The sequence below is a fragment of the Homo sapiens genome, chromosome 14, assembly GCF_000001405.40.
Source record: "Homo sapiens chromosome 14, GRCh38.p14 Primary Assembly".
In the NCBI taxonomy this organism is placed as follows: Eukaryota; Metazoa; Chordata; class Mammalia; order Primates; family Hominidae; genus Homo; species Homo sapiens.
Genome location: NC_000014.9, coordinates 57,273,675 through 57,298,923, shown reverse-complemented (window position 1 = coordinate 57,298,923; position 25,249 = coordinate 57,273,675). Strand labels below are relative to the sequence as shown.

Below are 25,249 nucleotides of genomic sequence, written 5' to 3'. Positions count from 1 at the left end.
GTTTGTGCATTATTACCACATTTGTTCAATGTTCCTGTGGAAGAATTTTATTTTCACTCAATCCCACTTTGGGTAGAATATAACTGTTTTCTTATAATTTGTGAATTTTGAGAAAACTTCTTTCCATGAATAATGACGAATTGTTAAACTTTAGCAAACTTTATAAAACACTTACACCCACTCAATTGTACAGCCATTTTATTAACTCCAAACACCCATTCAAGCAACTGAGTAGGCATTCCTGCAATACAGAATTGAACATTCAAAACCAAGGGCACATGGACAATTCATATAATTTTGATAATCTGAAGGCACAGTCACATAATTATAGGTAGAGACAATTCCATGAAAAGGCCATTATAAGTCTTTGATACAGAAGGGAATGAACACTGATTGAATACCTATGCACTTATAACTTGGTATCATTCAATGCTCACAATAACCCTACAAAGTTGGGAGGAAACTGAAGACCACAGAGGTTAAGTAATTTATCCAGGACCACCCAGTTTGTAAATGACAGAGCTGGGATTTGAAATCAGGCCTGTGTGACTTCAAAGACTGTATTATTTTCTCTATACCACTTTGCCTTTATGGTTAATGGAAATGTTCTAAATAATCACTTGGAACTTTTGGATACTGGCGACTCCATTTCATTAGTATACGGGGACCGCTGAAAGCTGTGGCTTTATAGGATAGGGAGAGTCATAGCATATCAGGTCTCATTATGCCAAACAAAATCAGGATTGACTCTAGTAAATAGTAGGGAGCCCACAAAGCTGTTGTAGAGTGAGTTTCGGAAGGACATTTCTAAGATACGAGTGCCAAATGTTTTAAAGTTCACTGAAGCATAACTGCAAGGAACGTGTCCTATGATGGGCAGCCTCAGCTGTTGCCAGTCTGACAGTTTAAGCCAAGGCACTACACAGTGTGTCTGAAGATCAGTGTCATAAATGGCAACAAATTCTCTGAAAAGTGCTAAAGATGGCAATCGCAGGGCAGAATTCACCTGTGCCCAATACAGACTGAACCACTGTTTGCAAAATAGCCTTTCTATATACACATGCAAAACCCTAATTACTCAAACATCACTAATTTGTTTTAGGTGACAGGACAATCTGTTTTGTTATGTATTTAACATTTTGCTACTTCATTAAATCAACACTAAGCTGCTTTTGTGTTTCTGGTGGCACTGGAAATATAAAGGTATGAAAATGAATGTCATTGTCCACAAGAAGTTTGAAATATTAGGGAGGTAGGGGAAAGACTGGCACACTAATATAAATCAATGTGAGGCCACTACTCTAGAGCTTGTATTTTTCTTGTTTTCCACACATGCACACACACACACATACATTCAAAATAAACAAGGCTAAGAATGTTTTCCAAGGTAGAAGTTCTACTGGATGTGAACTATCCTAAAGAAAAATTTAGTTTATCAATTGACTACACATTAGGATAGTTGGTAAATCTAAGACACATTAGCATACAAATGTTAGATTACCTAACATTTCTTCACATATATATTTTCCTTATAATTCTATATAGACATCATATTTTCTTCACTGATAAGGCAGAGGTAAATCTCATACTAGCAAATTGAGCACACATTCAAAATCAGTGAAGGAGGCAGGAGGGGAATCAGTGGGAGAAACATATAGTTAGTATGTAGGAGTTTTTTTGTATTTAATTTAGTATTTCAGTATAATAAATTAAATATCAAATCAAATATAATAGTAATTACTTTCATTAGACATTTATATTTACCCTACATATCCAAACCCCAAACATCTGGAGGCAAAAAAAATTCTCTCTCATGAATATACTTACTATAATCTTTATTTCCTTCTGCTATATCAGGTGCTCAAGTTTCTGGGATTCTGTTTGCTAGAGATAGACCCATGGAGATATGCTGCCCCCACGGTGTGCCCTTTAACTGGCTGGGGAACTTCAACCATCACCTTTTTGGGCAGTTTCTGTACTAATAACATACAGAAATAGTCTCCTACGCTACAATGCTAATACACTGCAGGAGGTAGAATATATCGTTCAAAATATGGAACTGTTTTTTGTCTTTTGTCTAATCCCAGAGTGGCATATAATATGAGCACAAAGCTTAACATTAATTATGAATTTTTATTGACTAAATTAAGGTCTCCCTCTCAACCATATTGCTCAGCAGTTCTAAATTCCAAGCCATACCTTATGTTCAATTGTGTTTAGGCCTTCAATATTAAATAAAATAACATGCTATTTTAATATGTATGAGAGAAATACTTATGGCACGAGACCACTGTTATTCATATTAAAAAGTCCTTTTGCTCCAGTTGGTTAACAAGCTACAAATATTACTAACCACTTCTACTGATTATTGCCTTAGCAAAAGCAGAATTAGAAGCGTGGCATCTACTTTATTTTAGATTAAACATTTTTTGATTATTGACAAACACATAACTTTTTACTGATTCTAGACTTAAAATAAATATATGATGCTCTATAAATGTACATGTTATAGAAATGGTAAGTAATAAAGTAACAGGCTAACAGTTTCTTAAGAGCCTTTAGCAAGGGGTAATCTTTGATAACTGTGATAGATACCATTTTTAGGTTGAAATGTGGGAAAAGGCCGACAACTTGTCCTGTTGGTAAATCTAAGAAAATAGTTCTTCAAAAATCAGCCAATCCATAAGGGATTACAGAATACTAAACTTGTATTCAGTAACACTAAGAGACCAAGTAAAACATTTTAATCCCTGTTAAATACTATATTTCAATTTCTAAAGTGTAAGAGTGATTTAAATTGTTCATTTTAGAAAGGTAAAGGCTAAAATTCCTTCTAAATTTTTAATTACTAACTTTCCCATTTATCAATGCATATAATAAAGATTGAACTTTTAAAGGTCAAATTGGTACATCTATTGTTCAATGGCTTTTTCATTCTCAATGTAGTCTTTACGAGGTAGTTCAAAATAACTGTAGCTCTCAAAAGTTATCACAATAATCAACCGGTATTTCTCCAATGCATATATTACATACTCAATTACATACTCATTTCAGTAATTTCACAATTGTTTTCATTTTTTGATTATTTTCAGCTTATTATTTCTTATGTATTGCAGCTTCTGGGAGGAAAGTTACATAAAGCATCTGGAAGTAACTGGAAGGTATACCCAAATAAATAAATAAATGAGTTTCTTTCTTTTTTTTTTTAATGGAATATATTTCCTAGAGACAAAAATCTTTAGCAGAGAAGGTAACATTAAGTTTGGCACTTAAACATTTTGAAGTAACATAGTTGAGAAATACTATGTTAAAAGTTATTTATTTTCTAAAATGTACAAGTGACTGACTCATTTTTATTATCACTCATGCACTGTAACAGTCTGGAGAGCAGCAGGTTGCTTGAAGATGCAACAAATATTCTTTCAACACTTCAATAAACACAATGTAAACATTCACTTTAATAATGTTTCCTTTGTTAATGCAAAACCGAGTGCATTTTTTCCTTCCCTCTGGCTGAGCTATGACTAGCTGAGTAGCAACAGCAGAGTGCTGAAAGAATTTTTCAACAGCAATTTGCTTGTTCTAATTTACTTTTCAAGGTTGATGATCAGAATCATTATGTTGCTTGCAAAAAGATCTATTTCTATTAATTTGATCCAGTCATTCCTCTTCTTCTCATCATATTTAGTTTCCCTGGCAGCTTCACCAAGTAAGTTAATTGAATCAGAAGTGCCATTACCACTCCAGTTCTGGTTTCATATAAAAAATGCACTCCTATGTCCTTTAGAAACAAATCTGCTACACCTGTTGAGAAACTATGGGTGTACTGAAATGAACAACTCACGTATTTCCACAGGATGGTGATGGAACCTTTGCCTTTTGCTCTTCAAATGCTCTTTCTAGTTTAGTAGGCCCATGTCTGCAACGGGCAGTACCAAAGTATTATCTGTTGAGTACTCACTTTTTTAAAAAATAAGAAATTCTAAGAAGGTCTGTTTTTTGAGCTAGAACACAATCATCATCAACAAGATCAAGAAAGAGAAATCTTGTGTAATTTTCAAATTATTTTCTTTCATGTAATTTTACATGATGCATGTTGAAAAAGCAAGGCTTACTCCAAATGTGTAATATTCTAGAAACATAATGGGAAACAAGCTATTCCCTACATCTGCAATAACTTTCAAAATAGCTATTTTCCCAATCTCCTTTCTGTGAGGGAATGTGTGTTACTATAGTTCCAACATTTAAAGAGCCCCAGCTAAGTAGTCTGGAAGTTCAATGGTATCACATTCTTCACACTAAACACACCTATAAAACCAGTGGAGAAAAGAAACTCCAACTTCAACCACTGGCAAATTAATAAGAGTTAATATAAATAAATTAGCTCACACTTTCTTTGAAATTGGGTGTAAGCAGGCTATGTGTATGAAAGAGAAAAATCACAGGGTTTTAAAATAGATATAGTCACTAATTATCTCTTTATAACCTGCAGAGGGCACCCAAGTCCTTTGAAGGAAAAAGTAAAAATTTAAGAGGAATAACTAATTTTTAAATTTTTCATAACAAAATTTATAAACATAAAATATCATTTAAAGAGGCCATTTAAAGGAAACATGTAGTTTTGACTTTAAATGTTCAACAGATTAGAAGTGCAAAATTTCACATCCTACTGGAAAAAAAATTCAGCAGGTGGTTTTTAGTGTGGAGCATTTGTCCATCTGTAAATGCTTGTGCATCATACATTAACATGACACTGATGTCAATTAGGCAGATTAGCTAGGGCATTAGAGAAATCAACCAGACCTTGCAGTATCCTGCTTATAAGGCAAGAAGCTAGTGATACAGATACAGCCTTGTATTGTTCCAGGCTATACACAAACACTAATGTTATATCCATGAAACAGCTGGTGCGGACAGTTGGAGGCTAGTTGGAAAGCCTTCAGGTCATAAGAGTTTTAATCACTTTGTTTCAATCACAAAGGAACTCATGAGTTCCTTTGCAATTTTCAGTTTAATGAATCATTTCATTACTATTAACTAATACTGTGTTTGGAGGAAAGATATTTGAATATTTGCCCTTAAAATATTCTTCATCTTACATGATACTGACATGTTTCACAGGGAAACCCACCAAGTCAGACACACTAGTGTTGTACACATTTACGTAAATTCATATACTTGTATATATATGTTGTGTGTATATATATATATATTCTGTGATGGTGAATTTCAAAATATATCCTGTTTTATTGATTAAATATGACTGCACGGAGTGTAATGATTAAAAACACTAGTTTCTTAGCAACATAGCCATGGGAACCTGCCCTCTATCTTTATAGAATGCCGTTATCTTGTATTTTTCCTGATCCGCAATTCTGCTGTGGTTTAGGAACTTGCTATCAAAATATATTTTGAAACTAGTTATTAAATTGAAACTAGAGGAGGCTGGCTTGGCACAAACGTAAGTTAGGTATGCACTTCTTTGAGTCATTGTTTCAATTTATAAATTAGATCACAAAAAGTCTGAGCCAAAAAAAGTATAATAATCTAAATACATCCCTTGTATTGCAAAATGCTACTAGAACAGTAATTACTAAGCATTAAAATGCTGTATATAACTAAATCATTAATCAAAATCTAATCTTTAAAAACATATTTTGTAACAAATCACTATACTTTTTTTTTAAAGGTCTTAAAATATACTGGAGGAATAAATCCCGATTTGACATCTTACAAGATAAAGACTGACATTGCTATTGAAACAGTTTTAAACAGCAAATTGAGAAACCTACCATGAAACATTACCTTTTCTTTCTCAAAATACTGTGCAAAATTCCATATAATATTTCAAAATTTAAAATTATGGAAGAAGAGGTACTCAGATAACTGAGAAAAAGGCAGGCAGAAAAAATTTAATTACTCGGCTATTTTGGTAATGCTGTCACTTTTTTTTTTTAAAAAAGCATTCTGAAAATGAATGCAATTATTCTTATAATGGAAACACAAGAAGCTCCTTTGCCTCAAGAAAAGAAATAGTTAACAAAGCTTCGAAATCATTAGTCTTAAGGTGGATAACTGTGTACTGCAACACATTTTCCTCAACTGGATTTCTTTACCACACAGTATGACATTTTCTAATGGTGGTGGTGGTGGTAGGGGGAAAGGTGAGAAGAAACCATGCAGCTTAATAAAACAGAAGCATTTTCTCAGTCTAAGTTGTAGCCACTGCTTTGATTTTTGGTTATGTCAAGGCCAGTTAAGTATACCCTAGTGCATGAAACAAAACTAGAAGCAATACTTAGAATGTAGTCTTTGTTTCTTCTTTCTTCAAAGCCTATGTTTCCTAATATCATTGTTAGGCGAAGCAAAAAGAAATGTTTGTTCTATTACGTAAGAAATAAACTTCATTTGGTATTCAATTGACTTTCTAACTTAGCAGACAGGACTTTACATCTTCAAATACTGAAAATAAATTGCATTCTTGGCCCTTGCTTTAAAAGGTTATAGAGAATAAACGCACACCCTGGTAGTGTTCTAGTGATCTCCCTAATCTCAGTTGCACTTTGTCAGAACGAGGTAACTGGTAGTTAAGTGAAATACCCTAGATCAAAGGGGGATTAATCACCAACTGAATCCTTGCTGAATAAACCTGTCATTCAAGAAAATTATTTCCACTGAACTTAGCAGAGGATTGAAGGTATTTGCATAACAGGGACCAACGTACTTCAGCCAGGTTAAAAGGTTCAGAATTCATCCCATGTTTAGCTTTTTGCCTCCTTTTCCTTTCAGCAGCCTGGTACAATGGTTTCTAATCTGATAATACAGCTAACTATCTAAATGATGTCAGAACAGGAAAGTATTGCAAAGTTTGGATGAGGGATGGATCAATTTCACTTTCAGTAACTCCTAAATCTGATTTGTTGGAATTTAAGATGTAATCCTAAAAAAGTCCCTTAAACCTGAGGACTGTTTATTAACACCCCTTTTTTTGACCTTTGTCTTAGGAACAACCACTCTGTTGTGGCAGCAGTCCCTACAGAAGGCCTGGATGATAATTCCACCTACCTAGCTCCCAGGGGTAGTGTAGGAGTCTATCAATGTCTACGAAGTATTTTGAAATACTACAACAAAAACCAGAAAAAAAAATTGGCAATTGTTACCAAGTATAAATGTCTGCCTTGAAAGATCTTAAATCATACAATGTATAAAAACACCATAATTTTAACCTAGTAGAAATACTGAATTGGTGTGAAAAAAATGAAAACGATTTTATGGGACAGACTAATGTTTAATAAAAAAAATTTTTTAAACAAATAATTGTCATCAGAATTCCTGACAAGACTGCTTCAAACTTGACATTTGAATCAATTACTTAAAAAGTTAAAAAAAAATTGCCACCACCGTAAGGGTATTGCCTAAGTACTATATTGCTGGCTCTAAAAAGTTTTTAAAATATTGTTTAGTAAAAAATGGAGAAAAGAAGCGTTTACAAAATCATGAACGATCTTTTCTGGAGTTCATTCTAAAAAATTAACACTTTTTTTTTTAACCTTTCGAGTTTATTGAAGAATAATTACCTATGTGATAGACATCAGATTTCATAATCATATTTTGGCACTAAAAGGGAATTTAGCAATTTTGCATCTAGAGAAGGTCTGACACTATCCAAATCTTTCACTGGAAGTAGTTGCTCATATTCACTGCAAACGCAAAGCATCTTTCAAGTTAAAAAATGCAAAGAATAGTTATCAAAGAAAATGAATAAAATCCATAGTGAGATAATTTTTTAGAAAATGATTGAAGTTTTAACCCAAGAAAGGACTCTTAGAGTGTCTTATAGCTTAGAATAAGAACATGTCAATCACGATTAAGCTTCTGGAATCGGAATCCCTTTGAAATGCAGCTGTTTCTTCTTTAATTGTGGCAACGGACTCTGAAGAAAGGAAAGGTCCAGCCTTAAAGATGAGTAAGGAATACAAAATAGCTCAGGATTAGTTGTGGAGTTCAAAGGTCGCTAATTACACTAAGGAGTTCCCAGACACAGGGAAAACATTAAACAGGTCACCTACCAAACGGGAAACAGACTTTGTCTTCAGAAATTATCCTGAAGTGACAGGTTTCTAGACAAAATCAAAAGCATCACAGTGTGCCCAGCTGATCTCAATGGGATGAAAACCTAAGTTGGTTCAGTTCTGTAGCACTATGTTAGAATGGAATGGCAACAGATGGCATCAGGTTCCCCAACACCTCATCACTTTTCCAGGACACCCTAGATTTTCCTCCGGTTTCTAGAAATGTCAAATAGAAGATTCACTGATTTTTCTAACTGCTTATAAACTTTTGCCTAGGGGATTATTATATTAAATCTTTGCCTACTCACTAGATAAATGCCTCTTGCTTACCTTAGTGTATTTGGTAAACATTTATACAATCAAGATTCCAAATGGCTCCATTACCATTAACTTATCAACATAAGTGAAATGTTAAGCTTTGAGTTTAAGAGAGATCAAATAACTTATAGGGAATGATATTTTCTTCTTTCAAAAGGAAAGTTTTCACTGCTGATTATCTATGATTAAGCTAGAATAACAAGTTAAAATCCTGGTCAGGCAGTTATTCTTTTTTTCTTTGTTACTTGGGATAATTTTGAACATAGAACCTTATGCCATGATAATGCTTTGCAGAAAATGAGTTTATGAGTAGGACTGACCTTAATTAAAAAATCATATTTCAAATCCTAAATTTATATGCCCTATACCTTTAAACTATCATGCTTTCTTCTGAGGAGTTAGCAGCTTTTCTAAGCTTTTCCTTAGAACACTCATTAAAAAACAGAACCCAAGATATAATCAAATTGAGTATTAATCTTTAATGCATTTTTTTTTCTCATTTGTAAAAAGACATGAATGAAGTTTTGAGGTTCGTGAGATTTCATCTTTTCTTGAATGGTCACTTAAAGTCCAACTTGACAATGAACTGCTCTGAAAACATAATATGATATATAATTGCAGAAGCAGGTAGAGTATAAAGATGATGACTAGATGGTTTCTGAAGAAATCAAGAGAATGGTAAGAAAGTGAGAGTGACAGCTTTAAGGAGATATATACTACATGTGACTAAAATAAGCTTAAATGATACTCTCTACTCACAGAGTGCCTTTTGAATTTTTACCAGAATTCATTCATTAATTTTAACTTAATAAGACACAGCAAGAGCAGTATTAGGTCTAAATTACCTTTAAAAATTTGGCTGCAGACATTAAATGATTACAAAACACTATGATCATCTTCTGAAGGTATTCTACACATCTTAATATGGCTACTGACATCCTAAGCAAAATGTCAAAGTGGCAGATTAACAAGCTTACTTAAAAACTAACTCTAGAACAGAGATTACACACCTTAAGTAGAATTATGCAGATTATTTATTAGTCAATAGGATAGTTCTGATTAAGAAGAACAGCTTACTATTTAAACACTTTTCCTTTGTCTCTGTTGGCTGTTTTTTGAAGAGATGTAGTTGTCTCTAACATGGTCTCTGGTATTCTGTAACAACACCTTATACTAGGAGCTTAGTACTTAGATTTGGAAGAGAAAATAGTTTTTATCTTGCACATTATCTACAACCCACTGGGAGTGGCTGCCTGAATCTCTGAACTAAAAAGGAGCCTGACCCTTTATCCAAGGCTCAGTACAGAAAAGGGCTGTAATTGATTAGCAATGTCTGCCACAGAAACACTAGGAAACAAGTGTGGCAGGGTGACCCAGGACCAGTCTAAAATGAGCCCAAGTGAATCATTACTTTTCTATGTTCTGAATTATACTGGCATAAAATCGAAGGTTAACAAAATTGGAGACATTAGCTTTTAAAATGTCCTTTCAAGCTCTATCAGACTACAAACACCACATAAGACTACTTTTACAATTAAATCATTCAGTGATTTTTCACTCACAGGTTATATGCATCCACATTAAAAATATAAGATTATGATTTTCTTTAAACTGTTATCATTATATAATCCCATTTAAACATGAGACTATTACAATAATAATGATCCATATGTTACTGGAGCAGGGGCTTTAGAATTCCAGATGTAATAATCAGAAGAAATTAGTTTCCGGTCTAAAGAAAAGAAAAAGAAATTAATGATAAGACTATTTCAGCAAAAATTCAACGAGAGCAAAGTCATGATTTTTGAAATTGTGGAATGCAGTTATTTCAAGTCAATACTTTGAAATATTCATTTTAATTTCATATTATCAAGACTTTATTATAACTTTTACCATTTTACAAATATAGACTCATTAAATATTTGAAGAATCCATCTTTGACCTTATATGAAATATCTCTCATTTATGCCAAATCTGCCAATTTTATCTTCACATTTTCTCTAAAATCTTTTTCGTATGGACCATTACTCTGACTGCAAAAACATTAAAAATTTTTCATTGGTTTCTCTTCTATAACCTTATCACCATAGCCCTGATTCTGGGTCTTGCTATTCTTTACCCAAAGTGTCAGAGATATAAATTAACACCTAACTTCCTAGCAACATTCTAAATAGTTTGCTTCACTGGTTTCTTATTATAGTTCTGATCAATTTAAGCCTTTTTAAAAATAGCTTTGAAACTCTACAAAAATGGCAACCTATTTGAACTAAAGTTTTCTGATATGTAAAGTTGAGATAATAATGTTCATTTGGAGTTACACATGTAAATTCTTTATATATATATATAATTAAATATCCAATTAAATATAATTATCCAATTCAGCCTGTTCTACCTTTCTTCTTCATGCCCTTCTTCATAATGAAAAGAATATAGACTATATTGTCTTTTTTGTTCTCTTCAAAGTTTGAGAACGCAGTAACAATGAGAGGCAAGACAGCATACTGTTAAGTGGACAGATTCCAGAGCCAGAATGCTTGAGTATCTGACTCGCAGTTCTGCCATTTGCAAGCTATGGGACCCTAATCTCTCAGTTCCATCAGTGTCCTCATCTGTAAAATGGAGATAACAACACTTACATAGGGTGCTGTGAGGATTAATGAGACAATGCACATAAAACACTTAGAACTTTGCCTGGCATATAGTAAGCAATAAATATTAGCCATTATTATTTAAATTGGTATTATTATTACTAAACTATTTTTAAACTAAGTTGTATATTATGAAAATAGATTTTATTGTCAAGATGATGGCAAAATAAAGTTTTACATAATTGCACAAACTGGCAGTCACATTCTGAAACTAACAGAGGAAAGAAAAGATGGGTCATAATATTAATTTAAAATGAGTTCTTTCAACATATTTTGTATTAAGAAGCAGGTATGTTCCTATCTTGTATTATGTTCTCTGGAAATTACTGCAGTATGTTTAGTTAACATAAATAAATTATTTTCCCATAGACAATCTAAAATACTGGTCTGTTTGCTTTCAGTCTCTCATATATACAACAAAAAAATGATGTAAGAGAAAACACAGGGCAAGCCTAGGGAAGTAAAGAATACTGGTTTATTCTGGTTACATTACATAGTAGAAATTATATTGACAAGCACAAATAGTTGCTTAGAATTCTGTAGTTCTGAGTTCTCTAATTCTCTTGAAATGTACATGGAGAGTCCTTTCCTATTCTTTTTATTTTAGGAACCCTAATCCTTAGTTTAAGAAATATTTATCTAACTATAATAATAAAAATGTGTGTAAATTGGGATTATTCTTATCCACATATATAACAGCTTTATTCTCCTTAATGTATGAGGCAAAAAGGTTGTTTAAGTTTAGATAACTCTACCTCATTTTAGCTACTATTCGATGTTACATATTTCTATTTGATCTGAATTAAATACTTTTGATTCATTTATAAATTGTTTTTTGTCTCATATTTTCATATGTTTCGTGTGTGTGTGTGTGTGTGTGTGTGTGTGTATGTGTGTGTGTACACACATATAGATCTATACTTTACCAACCATTAAACATACTAAAATCAGGAAACGTCTTTTTTATTGTCTTCCTATTGATAGAATAGAGAAGGTGCTAAATAATGCTTATTGATTGCAACATTTGCTAAAGATATTTAAAAGTTTTAAATAAGAATCATCTCTAGTATCTACTAAATCTATACTATACACTAAGCATCATACTAAGTCAATATAATCTTATCTAAACCTCATAACAATCCTGAGGTAAATCGCACTATTATTTCCATTTTATACACAAGAAAATTAAAACTTCAAGAAGTTCGCTAACTTGCCCAAAGTTATACAGCTAATGAAATGGCTGAGCCAGGCTTAAGCCCTGTCTGTCCAACATCACAGTCTCTGTGAATCACATCTCTGAATAACCAGAGAAAAACAAATCCAATTTTACACTGAAGTTCCCCTCTATCCCAATCTTTGCTTATCCAGACCACTTTATAAACAAGAAGGCGGCAGAGGGCAGTGTAAAGTACACAAACTGTTATGTGGGGTAGAATCAGCCCAGAATTTTATAAATTGGGATTATTCTCTAATCTCTAAGTTCTGTTACATTCAAATTTTACCTTAGGTAATAACTGCAAACACCATTTTAATTCCCTTAAGTTAGTTTGAATCTGTGTAACTTACGTGCACTTATTTTTGGTTTTCCTGATGCAAAAACTTGAACTGAATGCTGATCTGCATAACATCCAGTAAGTGTGTAATCTAAGATCCTAAAATGAAGCTAGAAAGAAGAGAGAAATGTACCAAATTAAGGTGATTATTTGGTAAAAAGCATGGTTACATTTTTTCCCTTAACCCAGTCTTAGGGAATTTATTTTACACAGTTCACAAAATAAAAACCACAAGTACTAAACTTGAATTGTGTGTGTGCGCACACATATATATACAAAAACACACACAGTTTTTTTTTCCGTTTGCATTAGGGCCATTTTTTTGTAAGGCTGTCATTATGAAGTACTTAACACATAATACGCACTTCACTAACAGCTCTAATCCATACTGCAAGGTATGCTGAGTGAACTGACGTGCAAAGATGGAAGCAATTGGTATCCCAGCACGTAAGCAGCAGAGCTGGCATTTGAACTCAGACCTTACCGACTCCAAAAGCTGGTGCTGTCTCCCCCGTGCTACTGTCTTGCATGCCCTATATTCTCTTCTATCCCTAGGGCTATGTGGCTATGATATATTCTAGATCATAAGTCTTTTACAGGCAGGAAAGTATACACCTTCTAATAAAATATAATTTAATTATGAAAACAGAAACATCAGTTTATCTTGTGTTTAGAGGGAATGAGCTGCGCTAATTTTCCAGAAGGGTGAAATTTAACTTTTACAGAACTAATGCATAAGATGTGATTTAGAATGTAATGTAATTTTCAGATCTTCTCAGCAATTTTTTTTTTTCCTTTTGCAACCCAAATTATCTCTGATAATAAAAGGCTGTTGCGTGCTTTTTTGGTATAATTCTTAATGCTGGAAGTTATGACAAGACTGATTTCCATACAACTGAAATACTGTAAAACACACTTAGATCATTCAGTCAACAAAAATATGTGCTACATGCTTTCAATGTGAGTGTAACTGGTTGGTGATGGGAATGAATAGAAAAATCGTAATTCCTACTTTTGAAGGACATAGAATGTGTGGTAACATTCCACATTTTTTTCTGAAAGGTATCTGAAGTAGGAATTTTTATAATAATCCTTGAAACAAAGCTTCTGGACATAAGTGAAGCCAAGATAGAAGAAATGAATTATCATCAGTATACTTCTGACTTCACTACCACTTCCCCTAATTGTCTGTATTTCTCTTGATGTCTTTAATACATTTTTTATGTTTTCTTGCTACCTTTCTAATCACTCCTTCAATTCCCTCATTTGTTTTTTTTAATCTTCCTGTATTATTTTATCCTTTTCTGATCTTATTTATTTCCACTGCCTCAACTATTTGTTCTCTGTGGCTAATTCCTAAATCCTGTATACAGCTGAGCCTTCTCTTAAGAATCAAGCTTTAGATTTTTAGCTACCCACTGAACATTTACAATGGGCTATATTGCTATTGCCAGCAAAAAATATGATATGAAACCCATTTCTTCCCAATTTTCTCCATATCAATAATTTAGGTATATTCATCCATTCAGCAAATATTTATGTGTTAGGTCCTGGACTAGATATTTGGAATAAAACAATGAATGAATGAGATTCACGTCTCTACCCTCTTAAAAAGCGTCAAGTTTGGTTTAAGTTCCATTTTTTTTTAAACAATATCATCTTGGAACAACACCATTCCTTGTCTCTGTATTTAATTAGTGGTCAAGGCTTTATTTTATCACAGCTTTTACAGCAGTCCCTTCATTTTTCTCCCTTCTCCCTTCTTTTCTCTTTCTGTTGACACTACACTAACTCAGCATTATTAACTTATTACAATATTACCCTTTCATATGGAATATTAATATGTTACAGAATGGCTTGTCTCTAATTTTTTTACTCACCTTCCTTACATCCATTCCAGATTAACATTCATAAAGTATCACTTGTGAAAGACTATCCCCTACTTTAAAAAGTACACCATCAACCAAAGGAATAAAAGTAAGATTCAAACCCTCTATAATCTTAATCTAAATTATGTATCCAGTCTCTCATAGTACTACTATTTTTAGCACTGGTTTCTAAGCATGCCTTGTTTATTCTTCTTTACTCTTTTAAGTAATTTCTTTACCTAAACAAATGTTAGTCAATCTTCAAGTCTTCATATTCATGCATTACTAGGCCTCAGAGTTTGGCTTAAACTTCACCTCCATTGTAAAGCTTTCCACAACTTCAGCTGTAGCACCTTTTTCTTGAAATACCAAAGCTGTTAGCACTGATAAATTGTTGATGTGCAACACTGAAAAATTCCTGGAGGGCAAGGACTACATCTTCTATTTTCTGTATACAAATCTCAATTTTTTTGTTTTTGAGACAGAGTCTTACTCTATCGCCCAGGCTGGAATGCAGTGGCACAATCATGGCTCACTGCAGCCTCGAACTCCCCAGGCTTAGGTGATTCTCCTATTTGAACCTCCCAAAAAGCTGTGACTAAAGGTGTGCACCACCATGCCCAGCTGATTTTTCTATTTTTTGTAGAGGCGGGGTCTCACCATGTTGGCCAGGCTGGTCTTGAACTCCTGGGATTAAGCGATCCACCTGCCTTGGCCTCCCAAAGTGCTGGGATTATAGGTGGGATCCACCATGCCTGGCCCAAATCTCAAATTTGATAACCAAGAGCTGAGTAGAATTAGACTAAGTTGGGTATTAGGTTAGCTGGTTCCGTTTAAAAACAAACAAACAAACAAACAAAAAAACCCTTGTTTAAAAGAGATCTGGTCGCACTCTGTTGTCCAGGTTGCAGTGCAGTGGCACAATTTAGCTCACTGTAACCTTGAACTCCTGGGCTTGAGCGATCCTCCCACCTCAGTCTCCCCAATAGCTGGGACTACAGACATCCCGCCACTATGCCTGGCTTTTTAAAATGTTCAAGTATTAAGTGAAATAGAAGTGACTAATACTAAACAACAACAAAAAATCAAACAAAAATCCAAAAGAGAACTTATCCCAGACTAAAAGAACAGAATTCTAAAACAATTGGTGGAAAACATTAAAAATCAACTAGAAATATGCAATTTATAAACAAAGGAAGGGTGCTACTGTAGTGAGCTGTATAAATATGTTTACCTTTAAATATGCTGTTTCTCCAGTACAAATTGGGTCAAATGGCTGCTTCTCATGGCTCTTGGCTCCAAAAGTTACAGTTCCAGAAAGACTAATTTCCATTGATTTTGGGAACTTCTGGCCTAAAACACAAATATACCAATAAACAATTCTAAATTAAGTAGATTCTACAGTAAATGAAAAGAAAAAAAATCAATAAATAAAACTTGCTCACCAATAATCCAGATCAATAAGCTTTTCTCTCGAAATACTTCAAGCTGGCCAAAACTAGTTTTGTATTCCAAATGTGTAATTGGACCTCTTTAAAAAGAAAAGGATAAAATAGAAAAAGATCATAGATATAACAGTTTTAAGAGATCTAAGTCAAACTTGGCCACTGTTACTTAATACAAGGACAGCATAAAAGCAGATCTGTATTCAAGTTTGCAGAATAGAACAAATAATGAATGTTAAATCTTGAAAAACAACAAGCACACATAAACATTTTTGGTGATGATGTGTATTTCATTATTAATCCTTAAGACAACTATGAAATCATACGAAATGTATTAATACGGTCACATGGGTTGCTACAATGACTATGATTTTACTATATATGTAGATATATTTTGACAAAAAACTATGCTACAGAATAAATTTAAAAGTAGAATTGATAATAAAGTAATATTATGATATAATTGGCTAATTCACCAGGTTGTTGATAGTTTGGTTTGACTTGTATATGGAAAAATTGCTAGAAATAAATCCGGTAGAAAAATAATCCCTGAGGAAGCTACATTGGCTTAAGTGTATAATTTACTAGTAAGTTTAACTAGAAAGATAAAGGCATATTTAAAGGTAAACAGATTATTTTTATGACTATATCATGAAAATCAGCATTCATTTAAATAAAATAAAATTGTTCAGACCTTAAAAATAAGGTAAAAGACAAAGACAATTTACTGTGGGACAGTGGAAATGTATTAAGGAAGACAGAAATTATGGCAATATGCATTTTATTCCTACCTATTGTAAAAAGGTATATGGGCTTCACAGAATTCAAAATTATTTTTCACACTTTCATGAAGTTTTAAATTAATGGTTATTCTTAGTTGTACTTCTTCCTCCTTCATTTGATAAAAACCCAAAATTGGTGGGACAGGGACCTAAAAAGAAACATAAATGTCTATATAATTCTCAGGTTAATGAGTCTAAAACAACAAAAGTAACTGAGAAAAGAGTTACTTTTAATGACTTGGAGATTATTCCAAGTTGTTTTGGTAACAGCAATGATGAATCTATATTCATCTTAAGGATAGGGATTCTTCTCTCTTTGTTTTCGGAGATGAGAAAAGCGCTTTACAAAGGTGTACAATGCATTCTTGTTCCTATACTTGCTCGTCCAGGCTCCCCGTCTCCATGTTCTCTGATCTGCCGCATAGGGCATGCAGTAGGCATACTGATTACTGCCAACCTGCCCACAGCTCCTGTTGCTCCAATTGAATCCCATGAGTTCTCCAATCCCATCGTTCAGCAGTAACTTACTTGGTTGGTCATCAATGACTGACTGAAGAGGAAACAACTTGTAGGCTGGGGTGAGCCAATCATTATTTCTGGTACATGTGAAGTAAGACACAGAAAGACTACTTATACAGGGCAAGCCCTAAAGCTGTAAGGTCATGTGTAAGCAGAGAAAGCCAGTTGAAAGAGGAGACTGAGAAGCAGAGATGTGACAGACAGGGTGGACCTTGAGTACAGGCTGATACTAATTTTCTGGTTCTAGTCCCAGTAAGAACTGTGTCTGCTTCTTTTCTTATCCTTAAATGGCAATGAGATTGCCTATTGCATTCTCAAAATAAATTTGCTCTACTTAAGCTAGCTTGAGTAGGTTTTTCTAACCTACTCATTCACAACTAGGACAAGAGATAAATGGTATAGTAGAAACGAGGTTTGGAAGTCTGAAAAATTGGGGTTCAAATCCAGGCAGTTTCATTTATCAACTATAGACGTGGTGCAAGTCATTTCACTTCTTTGAGACTCTCCTCAGCTGTAAAATGGGGATAATGTTTAATCTAAAGGTTGTTAGCAGTACTACAGTACTAGAGAAAATACATGTAAAGTGCTTAGGACAATGTCTGACACACAAGCAATTATTCAATAAACAATAAATAGCTATTAATAATAATATATATTTGTAATTCAGGTTGCCTGCGATGAGGGGTATTTTATGTTCATGGTTAAAATCATGACTAAATCATACCAAAATCTATCCCATGACCATGAACTCCTTTTTAGGGAATATTAAAAAAAAAGTTCAATTATTTTGAAAGCTATTTACAAATAGTTACCGACACCAAAGATAAGAGGTATCTTATTCAAATAAGTGAATCTTTTTTTTTTTTTTGAGATGGAGTCTCACTCTGTCGCCCAGGCTGGAGTGCGCTGGTGCGATCTTGGCTCACCGCAACCTCCGCCACCTGGGTTCAAGCGATTCTCCTGCCTCGGCCACCCAAGTAGATGGGATTACAGGTGCATGACACCACGCCTGGCTAACTTTTTGTATTTTTAGTAGAGACAAGGTTTCATCGTGTTGGCCAGGCTGGCCTCGAACTCCTGACCTCAAGTGATCCACCTGCCTCAGCCTCCCAAACTGCTGGGATTACAGGCATGAGCCACCGTGCCTGGTCTAAATCTTCATCTTCAATCATCAATTATTGTCTGATAAATAGAACTTTTTCTAAGTTCTCATACCAAGAGTATGAATTATCTACTTATCAATAGTATTTATGAATATAAAGATCAGCAAACTCTCAACTATTCTAGGGTTGTTACCTGGGAAGTGTAGAAGCATAAGTTGAATGACTCTAAAGGTGGAGTGAATGGAAATTTGTAAGGCCCACTAAATGCAGAGTCATCCATTGCATCAATACTACTAGAAGTCAGAATTGCAGAGTCAAGAGAAGTTACACAAGGGTGAACTAGAATATCCTGAAGTGGAGATCCATTGGTGGGGAGACTCAAGCTGATGGTAACATTTGGCATGATTCCTTCCAAATCACACTGAAATGCAAACAGAAAGATTATCACCAAAATCTCAGAAGCAAATGTCTGTTTGAGGCTTTTCAAAATTTATCAAAGTCATTTTCCCCAATTAACTCACTTTTCTCTAGGTATTGTTCTCTTTGCTTTCTGTGTTCTTATTAATGGTTTTATCATGTTCTTAGACACCCAAGCCAGAGACCAGGAGAGCCCTCATAGACTCCATTGCTTATCTCTAAAGCTCTTACAAAGATAATTTAAATCTGCTGAATTTTCTCCATTCCTGTTGAAACACATTGACATGGGCCCTTACAATTTCTGCCACAGCCTTCTAAATATTTCTGGACTTGCTTTCCTCTAATCAGTCCTCTAATCCTCCATTAATGCCAGAGCTATCTTAATGAAACATAATTTTTATTATATTTTTTCCATGCTCAAATCCTTTCAGTGATTCTACTTCAATTCTGTATTACCTGTAAAGCCTTTCATTGTTTGACTGTCATCTACCTCCTTTTTATTTTCCTTCAACTTTTAAGTTCCAGGGTACATGTGCAGGATGTGCAGGTTTGTTACATATGTAAACGTGGGCCATGGTGTTTTGCTGCACAGATCATCCCATCACGTAGGTATTAAGCCCAGCATCCATTTGCTATTCTTCCTGATGCTCTCCCTCCTCTAACCCCCACAACTGACAGGCCCCAGTGTTGTTGTTCCCCGCTTGTGACCATGTGGTCTCGTCATTCAGCTCCCACTTATAAGTGACAACATGAGGTGTTTGGTTTTCTGTTCCAGCATTAGTTTGCTGAGAATAATGATTTCCAACTCCATCTACGTCCATGCAAAGGACATGATCTCATTCCTTTTTATGGCTGCACAGTATTCCATGGTGTATATGTACCACATTTTCTTTATTCAGTCTATCACTGATAGGCACTTATGTTGATTCCATGTCTTTACTATTGTGAATAGTGCTGCAATGAACATACGTGTGTATGTATCTTTATAACAGAATGATTTATATTTCTTTGGGTATATACCCAATAATGGAATAGCTGGGTCAAATGGTATTTCTGCCTCAATGTCTTTGAGGAATCGCCACAGTCTTCCACAATGATTAAACTAATTTACATCCTCACCAACACGGTAAAAGTGTTCCCTTTTCTCTGCAATCTTGCCAGCACCTGTTGTTTTTTAACTTTTTAATAACAGCCATTCTGACTGGCGTTGGATGGTATCTCATTGTGGTTTTGATTTGCATTTCTCTAATGATCAGTGACGTTGAGCTTTTTATCATGTTTTTTGGCTGCATGTATGTCTTCTTCTGGGAAGGGTCTGTACATGCCTTTTGCCCACTTTTTAATGGGGTTGTTTTTCTTCATCTACCTGCTTAAAAATTTTCTACCCTGCAACTTACACGTAGTCATATTGGATTCTTGCATTTCCCTAAATAAATCATACTGTCTTATACCTCCAAATGCACCTTTGCATGTGCTATTCCTTGCAGCTGCAATGTTCTTTTCTCCCTGTAAATGCTTTCATTCTTCATGTCTTAGCTCATTAGATGCTATGTGTGAAGCCTTACATTCTGTATCACCTCTACAGCCTACCTTTGCTATGTAGAGAAGCCCAGGATCTTCTTCCCTATGTAGTCTGGGTTAGTTTGCCAATGAGAGGTACTCATGAGAGATTCACAAGGGAAAAGAAAAAAGGAAGTAATTTTTCTTGAAAGTTCTTTGAAGCCAGACAGGACAGCCTCTCAAACCTGTCCTTGAGCTCCTACTTTAAGGCCAAAGTGGCCAGATGCTGCACTTCTGCGGACCTTTCCTTGAATTTCCACTGTGAGGTCATAACAGACAGATATGGCAGTTTCTCAGACTTCTTTGTGAACTTTTGATTTGTCTATCTCCTCCAGTCTCCAGACTGAAGTCTTTAGTGACTGTTTCCGAAAGGCTACGGCTAGAGGATCAAAGACTTATTTCCTCAGTGCTTCTTGAATAAGCCCTAATTTCTATATTAGACATCTTTATTCCCATAAATCTGGTTGGGCTTCTTCTGGCCCAACCAGACTGATATACTTTACTTGTATTTGTGTAGGTAGTCAGGGTCTTTGTACCTCTATCTTGAAATTCACCTCTATTAAAGCCTGGATCAAACTGACCAACTGGGCCCCATAAGAATTATTGATATCTTCTGTTTCAGCAGAAATATTTTAAGAGTTAGTGAACTCTCAAAGCATAACACTTAGCTCCTAATGCACTATCATATATTAGATTGCACCACGCATTAACTGTCCACTATCTACAGGTATCTGGTCCATTTCTCTTTTCAAGCTTTAAATTCTTTGAAAGCAAGAATCGTTACATTTTTCTTAGTATCTCTAGTGCCTGACACATTTCTATGCGTAGAAAACAATAATAAAAAATGTTTGCTGAGTGGCTATCTTTTTCTAATTATAAACCTACTTTTGTTTTCAATTTCTAATGTGAAATGTTTCACTTTTAATGTTTTACCTACTATTTGACATGTGTGGGAATTCATTATGTATCTGCTTTACAATGTAAGTACTTACAGAGCAGGCAGGCATTACGAAGAGTAGTATATACAATTAGTGCCTTTATAAGGTCTGTCAGTGACAATTACAATAATGTCAGTCACATTAATAATAAATATGCCAAATAATCTTACTTTAAAACTTAAAAAAAATTTTAGGGTTTCAACTTTTAAACCATCTGCTATTTTCTATATGTGAACTAATAAGAATAAATGAAAAGTAGTTTTGCTTTTGATAGATATTTATGGAGACAAAATAAGCAAACATCAATAGTAAATACCATTAAAATTTAATAATATTCAGTTTATACTTAGCAAATTAATCTCTTAACATTCGTAAAGGGTCAGAGAAAGATCAACCATCATGGAACCTGCCGATGAATCTATCTGCACACTTAAAATGCCGGATCATCAGTTATTTACTATAGGTTGAGAACATCCATTCTAGAAGGAATTGGTGTACTACCTTTAAACCAATCTGGCATATGTAACCCAACTTTAGAAGTAAAAGTTATTTAAAAAAAAAAAAAAGGCACCTAAGAGTTTATCTCATTTTAAAAATGAGAAAAGATTCACAAAATTGTGTAACTTTCTAAAGACATACAGAAAATTAGTGGTAGAGTGAGGTCTAGAACTTTGGACCACTGGCCTTTGGCTCTGGTTTTCTACCGAGTAGGATAAAATGAAGATGATTATTTCCATTTATAATGGGCTTCACAATACAATTCCTTTAAACAGTAACTTTCTGAAGTACTTAAAGAATGTTTGGCTAACAGTTATACTATGTACATACAACCTTAAAGAAACATTTAGTATGTAGGTTAAGGTATAGCCCCATTTTCTCCCCACTTAAAAACATTTTTTAAATAAGGAAGTTGTCCATCATGATAATCTGTATCAGGACTAAGAGTAGGAACCAATCTGAAATTCTCCTAAGAGTAAACTGGAGTCAGCCTATCGATGAACAGAGACATTAAATGCCATGATATTAATTAGCTTATATAATAAATAACATATTCCCTGTTTATTGCTACAGAATGAAAAAAAAAAAAAAAACAGAATTGGTGAATTTTCCTATTTTCTTTTTTTTTAAGACAGAGTATAGCTCTGTTACCCAGGCTGGAGTGCAGTGTCATGATTGTGGCTCACTGCAGCCTCTGCCTCCCAGTTCAAGCGAGTCTCATGCCTCAGCCTCCTGAATAGCTGGGATTACAGGCATGCTCCAACATGCCTGGCTAATTTTTGTATTTTTAGTAGAGACAGGGTTTCGCCATGTTGGCCAGGCTGGTCTCAAACTCCTGGCCTCAAGTGATTCGCCCGCCTTGGCCTCTGAAAGTGCTGGGATTACAGGAGTGAGCCACTGCGCCAGGCCATATTTTTCTATTTTCATTTCATTGAACTTAGGAGAAAAAAGATTTAACTACTTTAAAACTTAAGAATGACATAATCCATGAACACCTCAATTTTGGAGCCATTTACAATAGTTATTTCTAATAAAGTGAGTAACTGGAGTATATTTTTGACCATGATAGATATGAGTTTAAAATAGACACAAAAACTTTTAGGTAACTTTAACGTTAAACAGGATTAAAAAAAAAAGACAGACCCAATTTTTCTGTCAGGACTGTTCTAATTCTCTGCTCTTGAACTCTAGTTTTATTCTATAATATTTATACATAGCCACACAACATTAAATTTGACATATAAAAAGTATACGTAACTGCAGGGAATAAAGGAAGATAGAAAAATAAAGAAATGAGAATACTATTAATATAAACTTGTAGGAAGTTTACCTGGAGGATTTTATTTTTGATCATTATTCAACATGGCATTAATCACTGCTAACTGTATTGTTATTTACGTTGTGTTTTCCTGTTTTCTATTTCTACAGAGAACCCAATATTAACCTAACGACTTGTTTAAATAAGAGCCCTTCAACATGATTTTAGATATGTCAGAGATGTCAATTTCATCCCTCTAAAGAAAATGGAAAACAGCAGTGGTGACTTTAAAATATGTTCTGAAGTTATTTGACATTACTCTTTTCATAGGTGGAGCCTTATTCCACGCCCCTTGAATATGGACCACTTAGTGACTTGCTTCTAATGAACAGAAAGTAGTGGAAGTGTAACCTCCCAGCTAGGTAATAAAAATAATCGCTTCTGCCTGCCTGCCTGCCTGTCTCTCTCCTCTCTCTTTTCTCTTCTCTCTTCTCTCTCTTCTCTCTTCTCTCTCTCTCTCTCTCCTCTCTCTCTCCCCCCCCCACCCCTCTCTCATCATCTGGTCTGAGGGAAGCCAGTCACCAAGTGTGAGGACACTTAAGCAGCCAGTTGAGAAGTCCATGTGGAAAGGAACTAAGGCCTTCCTCCAATAACTAGGACCAACTTGTTAGCCATGTGAGTGAGTCATCTTGCAAGCAGATCTTCCAGCCTCAGTCAGACCTTCAGATGACTATAGCCTCAACTGAAAACTTGACTGCAACTTCATGAGTGATTCTACCCTGAAAGTTCCCAGCTAAGCTAATCCCTACAGAAACTATGAAAATAATAAATGTCTATTTTGGGGACAATGAGACAATTCTTTACACAGCCACAGATAACTAATATAATTGGTAAGGAATGCAAAAAGATAACATAAAATTTTACATGACTCTCCCATTTAAAAACTGCTGCTTAAGATGAAAATAAAAAATGTTATTTAAAATACAACTAGCAAATTTAACTTTTCTCCATATGTTAAATAAAACGATAAAGCAAGTACCAGAGAAAAATCTCACCTTGCAAGTCACTGTTCCAACAACTTGCCATGTATCTGCTATACCCTGTTTATCATATTGCATGGATTTTACCTTTTCAGTGATAGAAATAGAAACTTGTGGTTTTCCTTTGTACGTCCCAGTTTTCCAAGCTGGCTGTTTCTGTGGCTGAGTCACAGATGCAAAATTGGTATTATCTAATGAATTCTGTAAGTTGGCATCTAATAAAGTACCAAATGGACAAGCCTGCAGAAGCAAGTCAGGCAACTGGCTCAATTTTGTATTCAGCTCAGAGTCATTTTTTTGACCTGAATAAAGAAAATCCTGTATCCCAAAAAGAAATTCAAAGCCTTGTGAAACTCCACTGACACTAATTAGTGGCGGACGAGGGGACAGAGTTTGTTCAACTAGTGGAACACAAGCATATATCATGTCATTCTTCAGAAAAGCAACAACTGGCCAGAGTTCTTCACCTCCTATCAGGAGTCCATAAATGGATGTTTTATTGATGCGTGAACAGCTATCACGACTCTCAACGAAGTCTTTATCATCATCCAATAATCTAAGTTCAAAGAGCAGTGCTTTAAGAAAGGGACCATCTTCAGGAACAGGCACATAACTTGCTCCATTGAAGACTCTGGCTCGTTTTTCAACAGTTGGATACCGTCTGCATTACGGAAACAGAAACATTATAAATGATTCTTCCAAGTAAAATCAAGATGAAAGAATTTTTTTAAAACTCTCAAATATAAGGCAAACAGTAATAACAATAAAATACACGAGAAACAAATATATACACACATCCACAAAAGCCAACAACCAAAAAATTATAATGACCATTAAGTTACTATTAGAGTGACTGTTTCATATCTGGTATATAATCTGTTATTCAAAATGCTTAATTCAATTTAGTTATCTAGTTTAGGTAGAGTACATGATTGTAATTCAAAATCCGTGTCTCTCAGCCACTCAGATACCATCTTGGTCAGCAAGGAGTATATACTTGAACCGTTTTAGGCATCTATAAGAATTTTTTTTCTTCTGATTCTATCTTAGTAGCTAGAGTAGGGCTAACAAAGTGGTTCAATTTAACCCTCCATAATTTTGGATTCATTAGTTGAGATGGTACAATTTTAAAAGGAATGTTCTATTCTACTTAACTTATAGTGAATGACAGGTACCCTGAGTCTTCTTGCCAATCCCTACAAAAACATGGAAGATCATTTTAGTAATAAT

General features: G+C 34.5%; 1 protein-coding gene across 3 annotated transcripts in view; it reads right to left on the bottom strand.

Annotated features, from left to right (window-relative positions):
• Positions 1-181: 181 nt before the first annotated feature.
• The window catches only part of AP5M1 (adaptor related protein complex 5 subunit mu 1), a 29,772-nt gene continuing 4,704 nt past the window's right edge, over positions 182-25,249 (bottom strand). The window contains exons 2-9 of one of the 3 annotated variants that reach the window (XM_011536940.4): positions 25,174-25,215; positions 24,035-24,680; positions 18,502-18,729; positions 16,696-16,835; positions 15,905-15,990; positions 15,694-15,812; positions 12,605-12,701; positions 182-10,122 (exon numbers count right to left, since the gene is read on the bottom strand). In XM_011536940.4, coding sequence (XP_011535242.1) covers positions 10,040-10,122; positions 12,605-12,701; positions 15,694-15,812; positions 15,905-15,990; positions 16,696-16,835; positions 18,502-18,729; positions 24,035-24,680; positions 25,174-25,215 — 1,441 coding nt within the window. In that variant the 3' untranslated portion in view covers positions 182-10,039. The remainder of the gene's footprint in view (positions 10,123-12,604; positions 12,702-15,693; positions 15,813-15,904; positions 15,991-16,695; positions 16,836-18,501; positions 18,730-24,034; positions 24,681-25,173; positions 25,216-25,249) is intronic. The other 2 variants (NM_018229.4, NR_026895.2) reach the window with 2 other exon arrangements.